A 23,783-nucleotide genomic window follows, 5' to 3' on the forward strand; every position below is an offset into this window, starting at 1 on the left:
GCCCAGCAGGGCACCTCTCCCAGAGCCGGTCCCTTCTCCCTCTGCCCCAGTAACAAACCTTTCCTCCCAGGAGTGCTGAGTGGCGGGGGGGTGGGGCAGAGGAAACTCCACCCTGATTTTTCATTGTTTTTACAGAAAAGTTAGTTTCTGCCAAAAGGAAAAAATTAAAATGGGAACAGCCTCCCCCACCCCTGGGGAATTGTTATTCTCTTGATTAAGCCCTCGCCTGGCCTGGCCACCGATGCTGTGCCTGGCAAATCCTCTCTCCTCCTTAGCTAAAGAAGGCCTTCCCGCTTCCTGCTCAGAAGGCCCAGGCCTTGTTGGAGTTTGAAGCCAAAGCAAAAAAGAGGCAGGACCAGTCGACCTGGGCGTGAGCAGGAGGGGCCCGGAGAGAGGGCCCCAGTGCACAGCCATGACCCAGGACCACCTCCGGACCCCACCCACCCCTCTGGACACACAAGTTAGGGTTCTGATTCTGAAAAGTTGTCATTGAGTCTCTGCAGCCTCCAAGGCTCCGTCAGTCCTAAAGTTTATCCTCCCTCCCTCTCCTTGGAGAACCAGCCCACTCAGGCTCACCGTGAAAGCCGCTGAGCTGTGGGCGTTCTATTTTCCCTTTCCGGCCTCCTCTGAGTCACAGTGCTGGGAGGAGGGGGAAGCCACTCTTGGAGATGGGCCCTCTTCTCCCCTTCTTGGAAGGCCCTGGGGGTAACTGGCTTTTGATCCCCTACCCCAGCCTGTGGGTGGATGGCTGCACCCTGCTGTGCCCAGGCCAGTGTCCCTTCCCAGCCTGGCCCAGCTCGGCACATCCTGGCTCCCTGCTTCCCTGTCCCAGGCAGGTGATGTCTTCAAGCATCTGTCTCTGCTATTTGGGGAGGTCAGGTAGGGGTGGGTAGGGTTGACGCCTGGGCCGATAGTAAGTTGAAATGCTGGGAGGAGAGAACAGGAGACGTTCACCCCTCCCACCACCTCCAGAGAAATCCAAGGCAGAAGTGAGGCAAAGGCCAACGGGGCTGTATACAGGGCCGAAGGGGAAGGTGCAGGTGCGGGCACTGCCCGCAGCCCATTCCATTTCCGGGCTTGCTGACTGAGCTCCCACTGCCAGCGCCTGCGCCTCTTTCTCTGGCCACGAGCGCAGCAGACCAGAAGTGCCAGGGAAGCAACACCTGCCCCCAGCCAAAGCAGCCCTCAGTCAAAGCCCAGCAGGGTTTGGTGCATGAATGCCCCAGGTCCCTGGGTCCTGAGGGATGAGCCTCCACCTGCCTCCCAAAGGTTCTGGCAGGACTGCGCTCCAGCCACCTGCAGTGGTAACCGGCTTCACAGCCCACTTTTTGTGTGCAAAGGTCCTTCCCTTCCCCGGCTCATTTCTCACGCCCCTGCCTGTGCCCCTGGGATCACCTCCCAAATAAACTACTGGAACTCAAGTATTTGAGTCAGAGTCTGCTTCGGAGGGAATCCAAAATAAGTTGGGAGGGGTGGCGATGCTCTAGCCACCTGCTTCTCTGTCCTCTTTCACACAAATGTATCCTGCTTCTTTCCAGATGTCCGGCTTAATGGGACTGGATTTATCTTCAAAAGTCCTGGTTTGCCTCTGATTGAAAACCAGTGTGCTCCCCATGGTTACGGACGGCTGTGCAGGTTTTTGTTTTGTTGAAGGGAATTGGCTCACTCTGAGTCAGCCGTGCACCCGGGCTGCTGATGTAGTCTCAGTGTGATGGTTAAACTTTAAGTGTCAATTTGACTGGGCTAAGGAATGCCAGACATTATTTCCGGGAGAGTGTGTGACAATGTTTCCAGGAGATTCGCATTTGAATCAGTAAAGATCTGCCCTCACCAAGGTAGATGGGCATCAGTCAATCCATTGGGAGCCAACAGAACACAAAGGCAGAGGAAAAGCACATTTTCTCTCTGCTGGAGCGGGGACAACCATCTTCTCCCACCCTCGGACACTGGACATTGGAGCTTCTCCTGGGCCGATGCCAGCACCCGCCTCCTGCCCCCGCCTCGTTCTCAGGTCTTCGGACCCAGGCTGAGTTACAGCGCAGGCTTTCCTGGTCATCCAGCTTGCAGACAGCATTTCCTGGGACTTCTTGGCCTCCATAATCGTATGAGCCAATTCCCATAATAAGTCTTCTCTTACATATCTGTATATATCCTACTGGTTCTGTTTCTCTGGAAAACCCTGACTAATACACCTGGGCTCCATTACCAAAAGTACTGTCTCCTTAAGAAAGGAGATGAGAATAACTCACTCTCCTCCACTCTGGCCTGACACCCTCTAGCCCAGGGGTCCCCAGCCCCGGGGGACTACTGGACATTGGAGCTTCAGCAGGAAGTGAGCTGTGGGTGAGCGAGTGAAACGTCATCTGTATTTACAGCCGCTCCTGATCACTCCCATTGCCCCCGAGCTCTGCCTCCTTTCAGATCAGCAGCGGCATTCAATTCTCAAAGGAGCACAATCCCTATTGTGAACTGTGCACATGTGAGGGATCTAGGTTGCACGCTCCTTGTGAGAATCTAACGCCTGATGATCTGTCACTGTCTCCCATCACCCCCAGATGGGACCATCTAGTTGCAGGAAAACAAGCTCAGGGCTCCCTCTGATTCTACGTTATGGTGAGTTGTATAGTTATTTCATCGTATATTACAATGTAATAATAATAGAAATAAAGTGCACAGTCAAAGTAATGCGCTTAAATCATCCCGAAACCATCCCCTGCCCCTAGTCCATGGAGAAATTGTCTTCCACGAAAATGATCCCTGGTGCCAAAAAGGTTGAGGATCACTGCTCTGGCCTATTATTTAGTTTTGGTAAAAGGAGGAACAGGAGAGCAGAGAGTAAATCATATCACAGGGAACTAACTAGGAAGGTAAAGGTTGAAATCAGGCTTCTTGAAAAATTATTAGGACTGGAGAAGACAAACTCAGGAGGAACAAAAGCCTCTCTTCAAGAATGCTAGGGGCTGCACTGCTACAAAGAAAACAGATGCACTCGAGGCCAGGCACGGTGGCTCATGCCTGTAATCCCAGCACTTTGGGAGGCTGAGGTGGGTGGATCACGAGGTTAGGAGTTTAAGACCAGCTTGACCAGCATGGTGAAACCTCATCTCTGCTAAAAATACAAAAATCAGCCAGGCGTGGTGGCACGTGCCTGTAATCCCAGCTACTCAGGAGGCTGAGGCAGGAGACTCACTTGAACCCAGGAGGTGGAGTTTGCAGTGAGCCGAGATGGTGCCACTGCGCTCCAGCCTGGGCAACAGAGCGAGACTCTGTCTCAAAAAAAAAAAAAAAAAAAGAAATAGATGCACTCTGTGGGCCTCGTCTTAGCCCATTTGTGCTTCTATAAGAAAACACCTTAGACTCTTCTTACAGTTCCGGAGGTTGGCAAGTCCAAGATCGAGGCACTGCGTTGGTGTCTAGTGAGGGCTGCTGTCTCTCCAAGATGGCACCTTGGGGCTGCACCCTCACATGGCAGAAGGTGGAAGGGCAAGAGAGCACTCCCTTCAATCTCAGGACCCATATAATAGTGCTGATGCCATTCATGAAGGTGGGGCCCTCATGATTCAATCACCTCCCAAAGGACACACCTCTTAATACTCTTGCACTAGGATTAAGTTTCAATGGGAATCTGGAGGGGATGCCATCATTCACGAGGGATAAAGCTAAGATGAGTGAGTGAAAGCTCTAGGAATATGGATTTTCAGTCTCATAGCTGCCTCAAGATATCGTCAGCTGCTGTTGGAAGGTTGCTGAGGTCCTCATCACAGGAGGCATTCGAATACTGGAAAACTAATTTTGGAGAATAGCACAAGAGGACTCAGTTCAAGACTAAGACTTTGGGGTTTTCCCTGGCAGGTTTTAATTTGGCCCCATGGGTAAAATGATGGATTACTGTCTCTTTGATCTGACATGTGATAATACTCATTGAACATCGATTCAGATGGGAGGCTGAGCCCTGCATGGGAGAAAGAGCAGAAAGCTGTGTGGGAAGGAGTGTGGTGGGAATGGTAGCAGCCTCAGCCTCTCCGTGTTCAGCAGGTAATCAGACCTTCCCCGACAGAAGGCAGCTCACCTGTTAGGTTGTTCCCCTACCTCGCTGTCTGGGGAATCCCAGTCCCCCATTCCCCCTGCCCCCACCACCCCAGCAGCTGATTGAAAAAATCTTCCCACTACAAATAAGGGGTCCCTATAGAGTCTGGGATCTAGCATGTTCTGCTTTCTGTTGCACTTTGGGGATCAGTCTAATGCCCCAGGGATGCAATAGTGCTCCTGACTCTGAAGTCAAAGGACCTTTTGCTGCCTGTCACTCAACCATAACTGGAGCTGACTGGGCTGATCTGTCCAGACAGCGCTCCCAACCTCCCTCCCTGGGTGACCTCCAAAGCTGCACCCTGTTCTCAGGAGGCATCTTCCCCGGCCAGAATCTCCATGCAAACCCCAAGGTTCTGTTGGAGGATACTGCAGGGTGGTCACGCCTCTGAGATGACTCTGCGGACCCTCCCAGCCCTGAGATCCCACGAGGCTTTCCTACCTAGGCCTCTGGAATGCCAGGAAAGGAAAGCCAAATGCTCAGGGCTCCTCACGCTCGCCCCAGTCCCTGGCAGAAGGGAAGCTGCCCTAAGTCTCGCTGGCTGCGGCAGTCCTCCTGGCTGCTGAGTGACTCATCAGCCTCAGCAGAGCCTACTGTGACTGGCGTAGCTCCTCCCACGCTTGCCCTGACCACCCCACTGGGAGAAGGTTCTCAGAACAGATAAGAACTAAGTAGCAGTTACTCTTGGCCTCTCTAAGGCAGGGGGACAAAACGGACCAGGCTGACCAGAGGCAAAACCATGGAGCAGGTGAAGGATGGTCCCAGACCCCTCTCTTCTGCCAGCTCCTCCCACCCTCTTGCCATCCAAAGCAACCCCATTCCCAAGTGGGGGAGCCTCTTTGAGCTCCTTACCCCAATCAGCCCTTCCTCCTACAGGGGCTGCATGCCCCCAGGAGCCCCCTCTGTCCTTGCCTCCCCTAGCCCCATTTCTTCATTGCCCCCCTTAACTGGAGGCCTGGAGGAAGACAAGTGTGTCAGGGAAAATAGTGCAAGACCTTGGAATAGGCAAAAAAGATGAATGGGTATCTATCTAGCACACCTTTTGAGGTTATCTTCATTTTTCATTGTCTTTGAGCTATTTTGCCACTCTGCAAGTTGTAGGAAACTCATAATCATGCAAATGGCCCTTATCCATAGCAACACAAATGAATTGCATCCAGTGGAATGTGGTTGAATACAGCGGAGTATCCTGCAGAATGCAATTGACTGTTGCCCTGTTGCGTGTTTGTGAATTGACTTCAGCATTCCTTACTGCCTATGTATGTGAGGTTCTTTGAACCAGTTGTAACATTGCACTGGTATCTTCCTTAATTAACAAGTTAAATGAAATCACTGGCACGTATTCATTTTATATTTGTATGAGACTCAAGATCTTACCTTTTATCAAAATTATCCACTGGGTGTGTTGACTCACACCTGTAATTCAAGCAATCTGGGAGGCTGAAGTAGGAGTATCTCTTCAGCCCAGAAGTTAGGGGCCAGCCTGGGCAACAGAGCAAGACCCCACCTCTACAAAATTAGAAAGTTAGCCAGGCATGGTGGTACACACCTTTAGTCTCAGCTACTTGGGAGGCTGAGGCAGGAGGATTGCTTGAGCCCAGGAGTTTGAGGCTGCAGTGAGCTATGGCTCCAACACTGCACTCTGGCCTGGGCCACAGAGTGAAACCCTATCTCAAAAAAAAAATTTTTTTTTTTTTGAGATGGAGTCTTTCACTGTCCCCCGGGCTGGAGTGCAATGGCGTGATCTCAGCTCACTGCAACCTCCACCTCCTGGGTTCAAGTGATTCTCCTGCCTCAGCCCCCTGAGTAGCCAGGATTACAGGCGCTTGCCACCACGTCCAGCTAATTTTTTGTATTTTTAGTAGAGACAGGGTTTCACTATGTTAGCCAGGCTGGTCTTGAACTCCTGACCTCAAGATCCACCCACCTCGGCCTCCCAAAGTGCTGGGATTACAGAGGTGAGCCACCGTGCCCAGCAAAAAAAAAAAAACTTTTTAAAAAAAATTTTGAAATGATCCTTTAGCAAGCTTGAAAGACCACCACACTAATTGGTGGTCTTTCAAGCTCTGTGGGTAAGAGCTGGAGGATGGAGCATTTAAGGGTTTCTGTATTTGGAATGTCCAGCAGGAACAGGGAGGGAAAGGGGGCAGCTGTCCCTGTCTACCCTCGACCCTACATTCTCCTCCAAGCCAACTCTGGCCTTGCCCATTTTCCTTTGAGACCGACTCGGAAGTTCCCAGGACTCGGCTGGGCGTGGTGACTCACACCTATAATCTCAGCACTTTGGGAGGCCAAGGCAGGCCGATCACTTGAGGTCAGGAGTTCGAGACCAGCCTGGCCAACATGGTGAAACCGTCTTTACCCAAATACAAAAAAACAAAGAAGAAGTTCCCAGGACTCTGCCTTTAAAAACTGTCCCAGAACCGCCCCACCCCCACCCTGCCACCCCCGCCACTCCGCCTGCCCATCTCTGCAGTTGCTGAGTAACAGTAAGGTCTTGCTGCTGCTGCTGCTGCTGCTGTCACTTTTCCCTTGAAATGACTTACAGCACTTACTTAATAACAAGCATTAGGGGATTACATGTCCAACACATGCTTTCGGGGTCACATTCAAACCGTAGCTGGGATGATAGCTAAAAGGCACAAGGACTTGGGTTTTTTCCAAGGTGATGAAATTCTCCAAAGTTGACTTAAGTGATGATTGCACATATCTGTGAATATGCCAAGAACCACCTGCCAAAAACACAACAGGTGAGTCACATGGTGACTTCATTTGCCAGGGCTACTATAACAGAATACAACAGACTGGGTGCCTTCAACCACAGAAACCTATTTCCTCACAGTTCTGGGGGCTGGAAGTCTAAGAGAAGGTGTCAGCAGGGTTGGTTTCTTCTTTTGTTTTTTTTTTTGAGATGAGGTCTCACTCTGTCTCACTGGCAGTGGTGTGATCATGGCTCACTGCAGCCTCCTGCTCCCAGGCTCAAGCGATTCTCCCACCTCAGCCCCCCGAGTAGCTGGGACTACAGGTGTGTGCCACCACAGCTGGCTAATTTTTGTACTTTTTGTAGAGATGGGGTTTTGCCATATTGCCCAGGCTGGTCTTGAATTCCTGGGCTCAAGCGATCCTCCCGCCTCAGCCTCCCAAATGACTGGGATTATGGGCATGAGCCACTGTGCCCGGCCCACAGGGTCAGTTTCTTCTGAGGCCTCTGGCCCTGAGTTGCAGATGGCCACCTTCTCCTGGTGCCTGGTGTCACAGGGTCCTTCCTCTGCCTGTGGGCATCTCTGCTGTTTCTGTATGAGTCCAAATCTCCTTCTCTCAGGAGAACATCAATTGTTAGATTGGAGCCCATCCTAACAGGCTCATTTTAACTTAATCACCTCTTTAAAGGTCTATTTCCAAATACAGTCACATTTTGAGGGACTGGGGATGAGGGCCTCAACATAAATTTTGGAAGGACACAGTTTAGGCCATATGAATTATATCTCAATGCAACTGTGTTTTAGAAAATGAGCGAAAGATCCCCACAGCTTTTGTCAAACAGGGGGCTCTTATTCCTCTCCAAGGGAGGCCACCATTTAACTTCCTCCCATATTTCTCCGGAATCAAAGGTGACTGTCTCAGCTTCCCCTAACCTCAAATGGGCAGGCCAGGCCACAGGCAGAGGTTGATGGTTTGGAGTCTAGCAGACCTGGCTTTTGCACCTGGTGGGACAGGTGGACTCTCTGGGCTTGAAGCATCTCTAGGAGCCTCAACCCCTGCAAGGAGCCAGGTGTCCCTCCAAACATCCACGAGGAAATCTAACCTGGCTCGCTGACATGTACCAGGCTCTGTTAGGGGAGGTACAAAGGGAGGCGACTGGAGGCGAGTCCCCACAAAGTAACCTGTGCCCTGCCTTCGGGGGTATCACCAGGGTGGTCGTTGGCCCCGACCTCAGGCGGCTCATAGCCTGGCCAGGACCACCCCACTCAAACCTGAACCCAGGCCTAAGGGTGGGTGGGAGAGCTGGGGGGACTGGAGACTGAGCTCCCTCATCCACTCTCTTTCCCCAGCACCACAAGGGCTCCACACAGATGACCTGAACACAGAACAAATGGGGCTCACCATGGCAGCCGCCAGCAGTGGGTGTCTGAGGCAGGCCCTGGAGGGCCAGCTCCCTCTCCCAAGGCACACCGCCCACCAGGCTGCCTGTTGGAGCCTGTAGCCCCTGCCGATGCATCGGAAGGGCGATGCCTCCAAGATTTCGGGCCGTCTCTCCTTCTGTTGTGAATTGCTCTCCTGTGTGCTCCTGGCAGGCCTGGCACCTTCAAAGCATTCTGTGGATATTAACTAATTAGTGTAAACACTGCAATGCAGTGATGACCTATTAGGAGGCTGTTGTTGGTATCAGATGATTAAAGGTGGTGAAAGCCTCCCCGACAGCTCTTCTGGGACTCAGCTCCAACTTTTCTCCCTGCAAGCCTGGTCTCATGGCCTGGAGAAGCATAATGAGGTCAGAGTCTGGTGAATTCAGAGTAGGTAAGAAAACGCAGTGCCTGCTGCCTCCGCCAGCTAACCCAAAGAATCTGTGGCAATGGCTGCTCAAGAAGAAATCTTGGCCTGGACTACAGGAGACAAGAAGTTTGGACTCACGTGTGACCAAAGGATCTGGGACTCCCAGTGTCCATAGGTCAGCGCACAACTAGTGCCAAGGAGGACCCTAAAAGGAGAGCCATGCGGCGGGGAGGGTCACAGGAGCCAGGGGGCTGGCTGCTGGGCCCTGCTGGGACACTGACCGGCTCCCTGATCTCTGGAAAGTCACCTCATTCATTCATTCAACAAACTCTCCAAAGCATTAAAAACATAGATACCTGCATTCTTGTCTCATCAGCAAATCACGGCACTCTTGCCTTCTAAATTTATCCAGAATCAGCCACTTCTTACCTTCCCCAAATATCATCATGCGATGACTCCAGTAGCCTCCCAACAGCTCCCCATGCTTCCCCTAGCCCCCCGTCCCCCGCAGTGTCGGAACACATCGAGTGTCAACACAGCAACCTCTTTGGCTCAGAAAACCCCAGCGGCCTTCATCCTCATCAGAGGAAGCACACAACCCTCACAACTTCCTTCTCTCACTCCCAACAGGCCTTCTTGCCTTCCTCCACGGCACCCAGCGCATTCTGCTTTAGGGCCTTGACACTTGCAGTTCCCTGTGCCTTGAGCCGTCTCCCGCCAGAAACCGTTTGGCTCGCTTCTTCACCTTCCCCAAGAGGTCTTCCCTGTCCACACCATCTAAACAGCGATCAGCAAACTTTTTCTGGAAAGGGCCAGAATGTAAACATTTTCAGCTTTGCAAGCCGGGCAGTCTCCGCAGCAACTCTTCAACTCCAAGGCAGTCCTCGGCCACACATGCATGGAGGAAGAGCGCTGTATTCCAATAAAACTTTATTTATAAACACTGGCTACCATGGACTGATTTGACCCAGGGACCGTTGTTTGCCAACAGCTGATCTAAAAAATCAACTCACCATTCCCTCCTCTCTCCTCAGCTCAGTTGTTCTTGGTGGTATGCATTGACATGTGATATGTAGACAATTGTCTACCTCTTTGTCACCTGCCTCTGCCACTGGAACATCAGCTTCACAAGAACAAGGACTCGGTCTATTTTGCTTATTGCTGTATCTCTAAATCCTCAGACAGTGTCTGGCATACAATCAGCACTCGTATTAAAAATAAATACAAGCCACACATTATGCATCGGGGAGGAGGCCACCCACTGGCTTCTACAAAGATCTGGGTTCTGTAACGAAATCTTTTCAGCGTGGGTTTCTCTAAGGAGCAAGCAGGAAGAACAGGTATGAGGAGCAAGACCTTCAGACCAGCCCACTGCCTGGAGACTTTGGACTCAAATGAAAAGCACTGTCTGAGCCTTGTTTGGAAAGGAAACTCTCCAGTGTCTGAGCCTCATAATCAACCAGCAGGAATGCTTGTGACATTTCACAACAAATAATAACAATTTCTTACCTCCGTGGGCTTCCTAAGAGGCAGTCATACTGGCTCATTTGACTTGCACATACCTGTGAGTGGGTAAGTTCTATATTTTACCGATGAGGTACACAAAGCGCAGATAGCCTTGCCCAAGGTCACACCGGGAGGAAGCAGCCGGAGCCAGCCCAGAATCCAGGCTTCCAGCTTCCACCGCAGTGCTGCTCTGACACATCCTCCTTACAGGCCAGCCTCCTGTTTCCCCGATGCATAAGCCAGTGCTAACGCCACATATCACTTAACAGATATTCGCCGAGTCCCTATGTTATGCAAGAAACTGAACTAAGTGCAATGCAGGAGGTAAAGATACTCAAGTAAGTCCTGGTGGTAAAGAGACTCTACAGGAGAGCCAGTCTGACCTTCCAAGGCAGGAATCTCCTTCTCGGCATCGCATGCTGGTTATTCCTGTAAACCGAAGTCATCACAAACTTAAAACAACAGCTTAAAACAGCAGCTTAAAACAACACGCATTTGTTATCTCACAGTTTCTGTGGGTCAGGAGTCTGGGTGTGGCTTAGCTGGGCCCTCTGCTTCAGGGTCTCATCTAAAAGCTATAGCCAAGATCAGAGCTGCAGGCTTCTCTGAGGCTCAACCGAGGAAGGATCTGCTTCCCAGCTCCCATGGATGGTCGCAGCATTCAGTTGCTTGTGGCTTCTTAAATGGAAAGCCTCACTTTCTTGCTGGCTATTGGCCAGAGGTCACCATCATGTCATGCATTGGACAGAGGCTGCTGTCAGCTCCTTGCTTTGTGGGCCTCCCCAGTGTGGCCACTTACTCCATCAAGGCCAGCAAGAGAGTCTCTCAGCAAGACAGATGTCACAATCTTATGAAATCACAAGAGTGACATCCCGTCACTTTGCTGTATTCTCTTGCAACGTTAAAGGCAAGTCACAGGTGCTGCTTGCACTGAAGGCGAGAGGACTGCATAAGGCCGTGAACACCAGCAGGTAGGACCGTGGGGCCAGCATCCACCCTGTCCACCTCATCTGCTAGGTCTTCCAACTCTCCCTGAACATCTTCAGAGACACACTGACCACTCCCTCACAAGGCAGCTCATTCCATTCTGATGTCACTTGAATGGTTAGAAAGTTCTTCCTAGCCTCAAACCCAAATCCATCTCCCTATGGCTTTTAATCATTGTTCCAAGCCCTGCAGTCTGGAGTGACATAGAAAAATTCTAATCTGGGCCAGGCACGGTGGCTCACCCCTGTATTCCCAACACTTTGGGAGGCCAAGGCGGGCAGATCACTCGAGTTCAGGAGTTCAACACCAGCCTGGCCAATATGGTGAAACTCTATCTCTACTAAAAATACAAAAAAATTAGCTGGGCATGGTGGCACATGCCTATAGTCCCAGCTACTCGAGATGCTGAGGTGGAAGAATCTCTTGAACCCAGGAGGTGGAGGTTGCAGTGAGTCGAGATCACACCACTGCACTCCAGCCTGGGTGACACAGTGAGACTCCATCTCAAGAAAAAAAAAAAAAGAAAAATTCTAATCTGGCAGAAGTTGGACTCCAGGAGGGCAGGGATTTGCTGTATCCTCTTAGAAGAGGGTTGTTGGAAAGTTCCAGGCACATCAAAGATATTCCATAATTACATGTCGAGAATAGAGAACAGAGTGGTTCAAGAAGTTGTCTCAGCAGCTTATTCGCTGCTTTCAAATGCAGAGTTGGCCTTGTATGGGAACTTGCTTACCCTGTGTCTCGGGGGACAGACCTTCATAGCCTTCCTTGGGAGACCGGCACTTTAAGAGGCTCTATTCCAACCCTGACACATGACTTGCTCAAGGTCACATAGCTGGTAAATGGCAGGTGTCAGAAGCCAGGCCTCTTGACTGCCAGCATTTCTCTGCCTCTCTATCTTTGTGTGTGACTGAATGTGAGACAGGGACACCAGACAGGCCTAGACCCTGCATCCTGGGAGTTTGCAACTCAAAGATATTTCCTCTACTTTCTGTGAACTGCCTTGATCCCTGGCCAGCAAACTAGATGTGGTATCCTCAAAGCCAGACACAGGTGAGCAGCGGGCCTCTGCGGGCTGCAGCAGGGATCCAGGTAGTCATTTCCTGCTTTCACTTAGGACTGCTGTGCACCTGCTCTCCTTCTCCCACCAGGAATAACCACACCCAGTGTACCTCCTAGGGTGTCGGGGCCTCCCCAGCACTGAGTGCCCAGCCTAGTTCAGCCTCCAGGCTTCCAGTTTCCTGGCAGTCAAGTCCATTTGCTCTGGAGCTTTGCAAGGGGCCCCCAGGTCCTTCATCACTGCACCTGCAGCTGCAGTATAGGCCTTGACCCATGGCGAATTCAGCAAGGGTTGAATGGATGATTTGAGTCCACAGGATCTGAAGACCTTGGCTGGGAATGTCAGAGGCGAGGCACAGCCTGCCTGAGCCCAGTGAGAGGAGAGGCAGAGCATCTACAGGGCTTCAGGAGGCCCCTGCTGCAACCCTGCCTGCAAGTGAGTGAGTCGGCTGGAGCTGAGGCTGAGTTTCAAGTTCTAGGGAAATGGAAAGGCCACGAGAAGAAGTAGGACCCGAAAGAAACTTTCCCTTCTTGGAAACGTCCGTGTCGCCATTATCCCCAACAACTTCCTTTTCACCTCCCTGCCTCTAAGGGACCCTCCCACCATCAGCTTTCTCCTCTTTATCCTGTGCCTCCAACTTCCCCCTTCCATGGCTGCTACATAATAAGCATTCAATAAATATGAGTCATTAAATAGTCACTGCTGTTCCTGCCTCTTCCCCCTCTCTATATTAACACATTCAGTGTTCTATCACCTAAGAAAACTAAAACCTTCCAAAATGTTTCCCACATGTGGTCGGCTATTGATGATTTTTATTTCTGCCTTTGCATTTTTACATGTCAGAGGTCTCTACCATGCACATGTGTCTAAGAGGATTACAATGAATAAGAGCTGACATTGGCTGAGCAGGAACTCTGGGCCGTCCCCGGTGCTAGGAGTTTCCTATGCACCCTATTGGTTCAGCCTCTCGACAATCCCATGTAGGGTTACCAACTGTCCCAGATGGCCCAGGCCTGAGGGGCTTCCTGGGACAAGAGACTTCTATTGCAAAAACTGGGATAATCTCAGGCAAACCAGGAGGGTTGGCCACCTTCCACCAAGGAGGCGCTATCATGATCCCCATTTTATAGATGAGAAAATTGAGGCTCAAAGAGGCTTAAAACTCTCCCTCGGGGCCAGGCACGGTGGCTCATGCTTGTAATCCCAGCACTTTGGGAGGCCAAGGCGGGCAGATCACTTGAGGTTGGGAGTTTGAGACTAGCCTGGCCAACATGGTGAAACCCCGTCTCTACCAAAAAATACAAAAATTAGCCAGCTGTGGTGGCACATGCCTGTAGTCCTGGCTACTTGGGAGGCTGAGGCACGAGAATTGCTTGAACCCAGGAGGCGGAGGTTGCAGTGAGCTGAGATCGCACCACTGCACTCCAGCCTGGGTGACAAAGTGAGACTGTCTCAAAAAAAAAAAAAAAAAACCTGCCTGGGAATCTGATCAAAAAAGGGGCAAGCAAAGGACGTAAGTAGACATTTCTCCAGAGAAGACATACCAGTGGCCAAGAAGCCCACGAAAAGACGCTCACCAGCATTAGTCATCAGGCAAATGCAAATCAAAACCACAATGAGGTTGAGGTGCCACTTCACACGCTCGACAACAGCTATAATTTTGTTTTAAAACTGAAAATAAGCGTTGGTGAGGTTATAGAGAAATTAGAACACTTACACATTGCTGGTGGAAATGTAAAATGTTTCAGCCACTGTGGAAAACAATTTGGTGATTCCTCAAAAAGTTAATCATAAAATTGCTATATAATCCACAATTCCACTCCTATGAATATAGCCAGAAAAACCTGAAAATAGACACTCAAACAAATACATGTGCACACACGTTCATAGCAGCATTATTCATGCCAGCCAAAAGGTGGAAACAACCCAGATGTCCATCAAACAATGAATGGACAAATGAATTTTGGTCCATCCATACACCGGAATATGATTCCTTAAAGAGGAATGAAGCTCTTAGATGAATGAAGCCTAAGAACATAAAGCTCAGTGAGAGAGGCCACAGGCCACAGGCAAAAGCTCCCATTTAACCTGATTGCATTTTTTTTTTTTTTTTTTTTGAGATGGAGTCAGTGTCATTCTATCACTCAGGCTGGAGTGCAGCGGCACGATCTCGGCTCACTGCAACCTCTGCCTCCCAGGTTCAAGCCATTCTGCGTGAGCCTCCCAAGTAGCTGGGATTACAGGCATTCGCCACCACCTCCAGCTAATTTTTGTATGTTTTAGTAGAGAGGGGGCTTCACCGTGTTGGCCAGGCTGGTCTTGAACTCCTGATCTCAGGTGATCCGCCCGCCTCAGCCTCCCAAAGTACTGATTACATTTTTATTAATTGTTCAGAGGAGGCAATGCATGCAAACAACGCAGATTGGTGGCTTCCAGGGGCTGGAGGAGGAGGAAGGAGGACTGACTGCCACTGGGTACGAGGTTTCCTCTTGGGTGATGCCAAGGTTTGGGAACTTGCAGAAGTAGTGGCTGCACAACATTGAATATACTAAATGCCAGGAATTGTACACTTAAAAACGGCTCATTTTGAGCTGTGAGCTTCACCTTGATTTACCAAAAACAACAAAAACAAAACCTGTACTTCAGGTCACACAACTGATGAACACAGAGCCGGCCCCGGAGCATAGGACACCCACCAGCCCGCCTTCCGTGACCGCTGGAGCCTGTGTCGCTGCTAGTCCCCCCTAGCTCAGGCCTGCCTCCCCATGCTTCTCCAAAGGCTCTCTCTACTTGTCCACTCGCCATTTGCTTGTCACCGGGGTCAGGCTTCCCCGACCACCACCCTGTGCTGGTCACCCACCCTCTTCCACTGGGCAAGTCCAGTGAACGGCACTGGGGGGTATTTGCCATTCTCCCCACCAGACTGCTGCAAACTGCCTCATAAAATTACTCAGAAAAACCCAGGGAGGCCAAGCATGGTGGCTCGCACCTGTAATCCCAGCACTTTGGGAGGCCAATGTGGGCAGATCACTGAGGTCAGGAGTTCGAGACCAGCCTGGCCAACATGGCGAAACCCCGTCTCTACTAAAAACACAAAAATTAGCTGGGTGTGGTGACGGACCCCTGTAATCCCAGCTACTCAGGAGGCTGAGGTGGGAGAATCACTTCAACCCAGGAGGTGGAGGTTGCAGTGAGCCGAGATTGTGCCACTGCACTCCAGCCTGGGTGGCAGAGCGAGACCCCATCTCACAAAAAAAAAAAAAAAAAAAAAAAAAAGAGAGAGAGAGAGAGAGAGAGAACCGAAGGGAAAGGAAGAAAAGAAAAGATAAGAAAAACCCAGGGAGGACAAGACCCAAGCAGCCAAGCAGGTCACCTCCTGAGGCCGCTGCTTTGCCCCTCTAAGGACGTCTCAGGGCTATGTCTTCCTATGCCCCCCCTTTTCCTCTCAGTCAGCCCCCACCTCACGGGCCTGCCCTGCAGGGTGTCGGGGGGCTCTTCCTTCTTGTTTTTCTAGCCTTCGCTCAGCTCAGTCAGTCGGAGCCTGACCGTGGGGGCAGCTCCTCTCTGGGGCCGGAGAATCATTCCTGTCTCCTGTCGAAATGACCCTTGGTAGGAAGGTAAGTTCACTGTCCCCAGAAGGCCTGCGGGAAGAGGCACTGCATTTTACTCAGAGCCCCTGGCAGCTGGGGAGCTGAGGAGGGGCCGTCTGTCTCCTCTGTCTGTCAAGACACACTAGAGAAACAGGTGGGGAGAGAATCCGCAGAGCTGCCCGCAGGTGGCCCCCTGGGTGGGACTGGGCCTCTCTGCTTCCCGGGGCTGCAGGGAAGGTGTCACAGGCTAAGGGTGGACTCTGGACACGGCTGCAGCTCTCACCATTCAGCTGTGGGGTCTCTCTTCGCACCTCCATCCCGAGGGTCAGGGAAGGACTGGGCGGAAAAAAGCCAAGAAGCTGGTCTCATCCACAGACACATGGGGCTTCAAGGTGGAGGAGCCCCAGCCCAGTGGGGTGGACAAGGTGCCGGGGACTGCATAGTGACCGTCAGGGCAGCCATCAGCTCCTCCTATGAAACCCCACAGGGGTGGCTGGCACTTGTCACCCTGAAGAGGCTGCAATTCCCTCGCACAGGTCATCTTGGAACAGGCAAATTCATTATAGACCCCTGGGGTCAGGAGGGGGCTCAGTACAGTCCCAGAAGGTTCCATGAAAGCCAGAAGTAGTGCCCTCAGCTTCAGCCAGGACCCTCCTGCCTGCACATTTGTTGACCACCCAGGGCCTGGGTGCTCCTGCCTCCGGCCCCCTTTCCCCACCGTGAATCCATATGGTCCCTTCTTTCCCAGCACAGCCACAGGACAGCTCTGTCACACCCTCCCCAGTGACCTACCATGAGCCACCTGGGCCGACTGGCCCTCCTTCCCCACAGAGCCCCTGGCACCCAGGACTTCCTGGCAGGTGCTGGCCCTGAAGTCCTGGGCTTCCTCTGGGCTCCTATGTGAAGCCAGCGCCCTGGAGGCCAGGTGTTTCCTGTGGGTGGGGGGGCCTGGAAGGTTCTACCACACTCACATTCCACCTCCTCCTCTGGGGCCTCCCACTTGTGGCTCAGGCCCTGCTACTGTTAATCAGAGGGAAGAGAGAAGGCCCTGGGGATGGGGTGTGTGAAGGCCTGGACTGTCTACCGCAGGCTGGGCATGGGGTGGGGAAGTCTCAGGGTAGCAGCAAGGCAGGAAGGGGAGGAACACCCAGAGCTTGGGGGCAGAGATAAGTAAGGAGCCCCCAGTTCCAGGCAACCTGTGGGTGTGGCCTCTGGGGACCAGCCAGACAGCCTGGCATGGACAGCCTCACTCTTCTCACTGCTTTGCAAATGCCACAGGTGGTCAAGCACCCACGTGGTCTTCACACATCTGCACCTTGCAGGTCCAGGATGGAGCTGTGATCATCGCTGGATGGGAAAGCAGCTTCCTGTCTCCCTCTCAGCAAGTGGAGTGCAGTGGGGTGGGCAGCTGCTTGCTGCAGACTCACTCCTATCCCCAAAGAAGCCTTGAGAGGAGGCCCTACCATATGGGGAGACTGAAGATCTGAAAGGCCCAGCTTGCCCAAGGAACTCAGCCAGTGAGTGGCAGAGCCTCCTCCCGTCCCAAAACTCTGCCTCTGGCCACCCCCAAGCACTGCCCCTCTGATGGCATCAGGGACGCGATAAAGAAACCTCAGGCAGGGCCGGCCGAGAGCCCTTCTCCCAGGCTTGCCTCCAGCTGTGCAGGAAGCCCACCTGCCCAAGACTCACCTGCGGCATTTGGCGAAAAGCAGTCCTGGGCTCCCACCCTCCCCGGCCTACTTGAACAGGATCTCGAGGGGTGGACCCAGGACTCTGCCCAAGACTGTTGAGTCCCTCCCTCCCCGGTCTTTGAGGTGGCAAGGCTTCCCCTTTTGCCTCCACTCCCCTGTTCCTGCCACAGCAGCCTCCTAGGACTGTGTTGCTCTTTTCCTTTGAGTTGGTCTGGCTCTGCAGGGGTCACCCAGGCCCCAGGCTCTCAGTGGGTGGGGATCTGATGTAGCACTGACATGTTTCATCCACTTGACTGGCAGGTCAAGGACAGCCTGGAGGTGGGCAAGTCATCAGGACCCCAGACCAGGAACGATGGAGGCTCCAAAGTCCACCAGTAGAGGGAAGAAAATAGCCGCTGTCCCCAGGCAGAGCCACCAGTCACACAGGGACGAGATCTCAGAATGAGCACTGGGCAGGGTTCTCTGGGATGCTGAGCTCTGGTCTTCCCTGTGAGCGGCCTTGGACAAGTCATCTGCCCAGACCCTCCATACCCCGTGCTGTGTCTTCTCAGAGAGTGAGCGTTCGGAAGCATGGCGCTCTCTGAAGTCCGTGGCTGGGATGTCCATGGCTGTGACGACCTTCTGAAAACCATGTGGTCTCTGTCCCACTTTCAGCCTCACAGTGCACGAATGCAAGCCCGGAGTAAGCGCCCCCAACTGGGCTCAAGACCTTCTTCTTGGGGGTCCCTGTTGCATCAGCTTCTTTTAAGTTAACTTTCTCTTGCAGTACAGTATGAATAAAGAAAAGTCTAACACTATGTGTCCAACTCCATTTGGACTTTCACAAAGTGAGTACCTTCATGTCCTCAGCTCTCAGATCAAGAAGAAAATACTGCCAGCTCCCGAGTCCTCTTCTACCTCTTCCTGTCATTAATACCCCCAAGACAACGACGACCTTGACTACTAACGCCAGAGGTTAATCTGGCCTCCTTTGGAATTACACGACAGGTACGCTCTTGCATCTGGCCTCTCTCCTCCCACGTGGAGTCTGAGCCTCACCACATGACGTCATAGCTCCTTCCTCTCACTGCTGTAGCCCAGCCCATCTCATGAACAAAGCACCATCCATATATCCATATGCCTCTGTGGATGGATGCTTGGCTCGGTTTTCAGTCTGGGCTATTACGGTGCTGTCATGAGCAGTCTCCTGGTGAACATTTGCACACGTTTCCTTTGCGAAATGCCTGGGAAGGGAATTACTGGGCTGTTGGGTGGACATGTGTTTGGCTGCAGTAGGTCCTGCCAGCTTTCTCAAGTGGTCGTACCAATTCACCCTCCCTCCACCATTGTGGGAGGCCCCAAGCTGCCCCTCGGCACCAACATCTGGGATGTCTTTTTCTTTTGAACCACTCTCTTGGATTCGGTGTAATGCTGTGATTGTAATTTGTATTTCTGTGATGACTAATGTGGTTGAGCACCTTTTTCTACGCCATCACCTTCTTTTTTTACTTTGGGTTTTTAATAGACACATAATAATTGTACGTATTTATGGGGTATATGTGATATATTGGTACATGCATACAATCTGTAATGATCAAATTGGGATTTTAGGACATGTATCCCTTCAAACATTTACCATTTCCTTTTGTTAGGAACATTCTGAATCTTCTAGCTATTTTGAAATACACTACAAATTATTGATATCCATAGTCACCCTACCATGCTATTGAACACTAGAACACATTCCTTCTATCTAACTGTATTTTTGTACCCATTAACCAACCTCTCTTCATCTTCTTTCCAACTCCCTACCCTTCCCAGCCTCTGGGAACCACTGTTCTACTCTCTACTGCCATGAGATCCATTTTTTTAGCTCCCACATATAAGAACATGCAGTATCTGTCTTTCTGTGCCTGGCTAATTTCACTTAATATTATGACCTCCGGTTCCATCCATGTTGCTGCACATGATAGGATTTCATTCTTTTCGTGGCTGAATAATATTCCACTGGGCATATGAACCACATTTCCCTTATCCAGCGTCCTTGATGAACACTGAGGTTGATCTCATCTCTTGGCTACCGTGAATAGTGCTGCAGTAAACGTGGGGGCTCAGCTGTCCTTTCATACTGAAGTTCTTTATATATTCCGGGCACTAAACATAGACATAGATATGAGTATAGACATAGATATGGATATGGATATAGATATGGATATGGATATAGATATGGATATAGACATGGATATAGATATGGATAGATTGGAAATGGATATGGATGTGGATATAGATATAGATGTGGATATGGATATAGATATGGATGTAGATATTGATAAGGATATAGATATGGATAGATTGGATATGGATATAGATGTGGATATGGCTATAGATGTGGATACGGATATAGATATGGATAGGTTGAATATGGATATGGATATAGATATGGATATGGATATAGACATGGATATAGATATGGATAGATTGAAAATGGATATGGATGTGGATATGGATATAGATGTGGATATGGATATAGATATGGATGTAGATATTGATAAGGATATAGATATGGATATAGATATAGATATGGATATAGATATGGATAGATTGGATATGGATATAGATGTGAATATGGATATAGATGTGGATATGGATATAGATATGGATGTAGATATTGATAAGGATATAGATATGGATATAGATATGGATATAGATATGGATAGATTGGATATGGATATAGATGTGAATATGGATATAGATGTGGATATGGATGTAGATATGGATGTAGATATTGATAAGGATATAGATATGGATATAGATATGGATAGATTGGATATGGATATAGATGTGGATATAGATATAGATATGGATATAGATATGGATAGATTGGATATGGATATAGATGTGGATATGGATATAGATATGGATAGGTTGAATATGGATATGGATATAGATATGGATATAGACATGGATATAGATATGGATAGATTGGAAATGGATATGGATGTGGATATGGATATAGATATGGATGTAGATATTGATAAGGATATAGATATGGATATAGATATGGATAGATTAGATATGGATATAGATGTGGATATGGCTATAGATGTGGATATGGATATAGATATGGATAGGTTGAATATGGATATGGATATAGATATGGATATGGATATAGACATGGATATAGATATGGATAGATTGGAAATGGATATGGATGTGGATATGGATATGGATGTGGATATGGATATAGATATGGATGTAGATATTGATAAGGATATAGATATGGATATAGATATAGATATGGATATAGATATGGATATAGATATGGATAGATTGGATATGGATATAGATGTGAATATGGATATAGATGTGGATATGGATATAGATATGGATGTAGATATTGATAAGGATATGGATATGGATATAGATATAGATATGGATATAGATATGGATAGATTGGATATGGATATAGATGTGGATATAGATATAGATATGGATATAGATATGGATAGATTGGCTATGGATATAGATGTGGATATAGATATAGATATGGATATAGATGTGGATATAGATATAGATATGGATATAGATATGGATATGGATGTGGATATAGATATGGATATGGATGTGGATATAGCTATGGTTGTGGATATAGATATAAATATGTATAGACTGGATATGGATATGGATGTAGATATGGATATGGATATGGATATAAATATGGATACGGACATAGACATATCATAGATATGGATGTGGATTACAAATGCCCTCTCAGACTCTCTCAAGGTGAGGCTTCTCCTTTATTCAGTTAATGCAGTGACTTACACTGATAGGCTCTCCATTATTAAACCACCTCTCCCTTCCTGGAATAAACTCAACTTGGTTGTGACGTGTTCACTTTCTGCATGTTGTTTGGTTGGAGTTGCCAGTGTTTGTCTTAGGACGATTGCACTCATATTCATGAGTGAGGCCCACCTGTAATTTTCTTTTCTTTTCTCAACGTTTCGGTCGGAAGGTCTGTGTATCAGGGTTAAACTGCCTCATAAAAGGAGCCGAGAGGCATCCCTCCTTCTCTGTTCTCTGTGAGCATCAGTGCAAGGTGGGTTTGATGGACACGTTTGTTGTCGATTTGGGGAAAGGCCCACACGGCTCATCTCTGTCAGGCCAGGGGACCATGTCTGGGGGTCAGGCGTCAGTGGCCTTGTCTATGTTCTCATGGGGTAGGAGCATGGGGAGTGGGGAGAACTTGGATTGCCACATGACAAAAGCCCCTGAAATGGGCTTGAACAGGAGGACAGGGGCTGCAGCCAGGGCCTCTGCCTTCTCCTCCGTGTTCCTTCTCAGCTCTCTCTGTTCCTCCAGGGCCTCCCGCCATCCTCCTGCCCACTGTCCTGCTTTCCTCCTGTTCCATCTGGGCCCCTCTTCTTCTGTCTCCACCTCTCTCTGAGCCAGGACTATCCATAGACCCCTCCTGATGCCGTGCATGCGTATGTGTGTGTTTATGTGTCTGTGTGTGTTCGTGTGTGCTTGTGTGCATGCTTGTGTGTCTGTGTGTGCATGTGTTTGTGTGTGTGTGCATGTGTGTGTGCATGTGTGTATGTGTGCCTGTGCATCTGTGTGTGTCTGTGTGTGTGTGTTTAGGTGTGTGTATGTGTTTGTGTGTGTGCGTGTGTGTGTGCATGTGTTTATGTGTGCATATGCATCTGTGTGTCTGTGCATGTGAGTGTGTCTGTGTGTTTATGTATGTGTGTGCATGTTTGTGCATGCATGTGTGTGCGTTTATGTGTGCATGTGCATCTGTGTGTGTCTGTGTGTTTATGTGTGTGTGTTTGTGTGTTTCTGTGCGTTCTGTGTGTGTTTGTGTGTGCATGCGTTTGTGTGTGTGTGCATATGTTTGTGTGTGTTTATGTGTGTGTGTTTATGTGTGTTTGCGAGTTTCATGTGTTTGTGTTTGCGAGCATGTGTTTGTGTTCTGTGTATGTGTGTGTGTTTTGTGTGTGTGCATGTGTTTATGTGTGTTTATTTGTATATGTGTTTATGTGTGTGCACAAGCGTGTGTTTGTGTGTTTGTGTGTGTGTTTTTGTGTGTGTGCGCTTCCGCTCACATGCATGTGTGTGCACACGGCCAGCAGCAGTGCCCACTGCTGGGAGATTCCGCCTGCTTCTTGAAGCTGCCCTGGTCCTTCACCAGCTGAGGCTGGGACTCAGGTCTGTGCCTCCTCCGCGACCTCTCTCAGGCCCCCACCCCCACCTTCGCCACCTCTGCCTGCTCTGTTTCCCGACCCTGCTGCTGGAGCACGCAGCCCTGCAGTGACCCCGTCGCATATGCTTGAACAATATTCTAGAGCACCATGAAAGACTCAGGAGGGTAAAGCACTAGCGCATGTGCCGACTGAGCTCCCGGCTGGTGGAGGCAGAGAGGCGGCAGGGCAGAGCCGCGGCGTGGGCAGGAGCTGGGGTGGAGGGGGGCCCTGCACCGCGGGCAGCCTGGCTCCTGCCCTGGTCACACAGAGGGAGTGCCTCACCTCCGTGCCCCCAAGCCCAGAGTGCTGCTGCCAAGGCGAGGCGAGGAGGAGGGCGCCCTGTGGCTGACAATCAGGCGAGTGTTCCCTGCGAGCAGACACAGCACCTAAATCATGCATGGCCCAGGCCAGGTGCTGACTGGGCCGCCCAGGAGGGGGTTGCCCACTGCCTTTTTCAGGGATTGTTCCCTTAATGACACCTAAAAATGAGCAGGCAAGCATGGGCATTCAGCCGAACGCCCGCCCTTGCCTGATAGAAATGCAGCTGTCTGGTCTCAAAGCTGTGCCATCGACGCTCTGGGAATGGGGCCTTAGGGAAGGACCTAGCCACACCCGTGCCAGATCAGCCAGCTGTGATGATGGCTGACGCTCCCTGATGGAGGAGTCCCCCAGACTCCAAACGTTCCCAGCCAAGCCCTGGCCTCGGAGCCTCCCTGTCAAGCCTCTGGCTGGCCCTTTCCAGGAACTGGACCCAAAGCCCAGGCCACACCTGCCACATCATCAGCATGACCCTGGCTGGCCTGGGCAGAAGAGACAGGCGAAGGTAAGAGTCCAGCGAGAAGGGCCATGGCCTGCCCTGGCGAGGGCCGTCCTCTTCCACTGGCCCACATCTCTGGTCTAAGACCCCCAGCCCTCCTGGGAGAGGAAACACCAGGGAGCCCAGCAACCCGGATTGGAGCCCAGGGTTGGAGCCCGGAATTGGAGTCTGCGGATCTCTGGTCCAGGCCCTGCAGCTGCCTCACACCATGCCCCTGGGTACATCCCTTCCCTCGCTAGGCCCCATGGCCCTCTCCTCAAAGGAACAGATTATTCCAGGTGACAAGGACTGTCCCCACCCCAACAGTCTACAGCTCCATGGGACCTGGG

The 23,783-nt window shown here is 50.5% G+C and overlaps 1 long non-coding RNA gene across 1 annotated transcript in view, besides 5 other annotated features; it reads right to left on the reverse strand.

The window, feature by feature from the left end:
• LOC105371908 (uncharacterized) overlaps positions 1 to 10,625 on the reverse strand; it is a 42,983-nt gene extending 32,358 nt beyond the window's left edge. Inside the window, exon 1 of the long non-coding RNA XR_935001.2 lies at positions 10,471 to 10,625. This is a non-coding gene — a long non-coding RNA (uncharacterized LOC105371908). The remainder of the gene's footprint in view (positions 1 to 10,470) is intronic.
• Positions 13,723 to 13,822: a silencer, noted in NCBI's record as "silent region_9036". NCBI's record gives its function as "represses an Ori minimal core promoter by ATAC-STARR-seq in GM12878 lymphoblastoid cells {active_cell/tissue: GM12878}" and the evidence as "EXISTENCE:reporter gene assay evidence [ECO:0000049][PMID:35858748]".
• Positions 15,442 to 16,091: an enhancer, noted in NCBI's record as "H3K4me1 hESC enhancer chr17:75841537-75842186 (GRCh37/hg19 assembly coordinates)". NCBI's record gives its function as "activates a minimal SCP1, AML or CMV promoter by ChIP-STARR-seq in naive H9 embryonic stem cells {active_cell/tissue: H9 hESC(naive)}" and the evidence as "EXISTENCE:reporter gene assay evidence [ECO:0000049][PMID:30033119]".
• Positions 16,092 to 16,739: an enhancer, noted in NCBI's record as "H3K27ac-H3K4me1 hESC enhancer chr17:75842187-75842834 (GRCh37/hg19 assembly coordinates)". NCBI's record gives its function as "activates a minimal SCP1, AML or CMV promoter by ChIP-STARR-seq in primed H9 embryonic stem cells {active_cell/tissue: H9 hESC(primed)}" and the evidence as "EXISTENCE:reporter gene assay evidence [ECO:0000049][PMID:30033119]".
• Positions 16,740 to 17,389: an enhancer, noted in NCBI's record as "H3K27ac-H3K4me1 hESC enhancer chr17:75842835-75843484 (GRCh37/hg19 assembly coordinates)". NCBI's record gives its function as "activates a minimal SCP1, AML or CMV promoter by ChIP-STARR-seq in primed H9 embryonic stem cells {active_cell/tissue: H9 hESC(primed)}" and the evidence as "EXISTENCE:reporter gene assay evidence [ECO:0000049][PMID:30033119]".
• Positions 22,191 to 22,796: an enhancer, noted in NCBI's record as "H3K4me1 hESC enhancer chr17:75848286-75848891 (GRCh37/hg19 assembly coordinates)". NCBI's record gives its function as "activates a minimal SCP1, AML or CMV promoter by ChIP-STARR-seq in primed H9 embryonic stem cells {active_cell/tissue: H9 hESC(primed)}" and the evidence as "EXISTENCE:reporter gene assay evidence [ECO:0000049][PMID:30033119]".

The sequence above is a fragment of the Homo sapiens genome, chromosome 17, assembly GCF_000001405.40.
Source record: "Homo sapiens chromosome 17, GRCh38.p14 Primary Assembly".
Classification (NCBI taxonomy): Eukaryota; Metazoa; Chordata; class Mammalia; order Primates; family Hominidae; genus Homo; species Homo sapiens.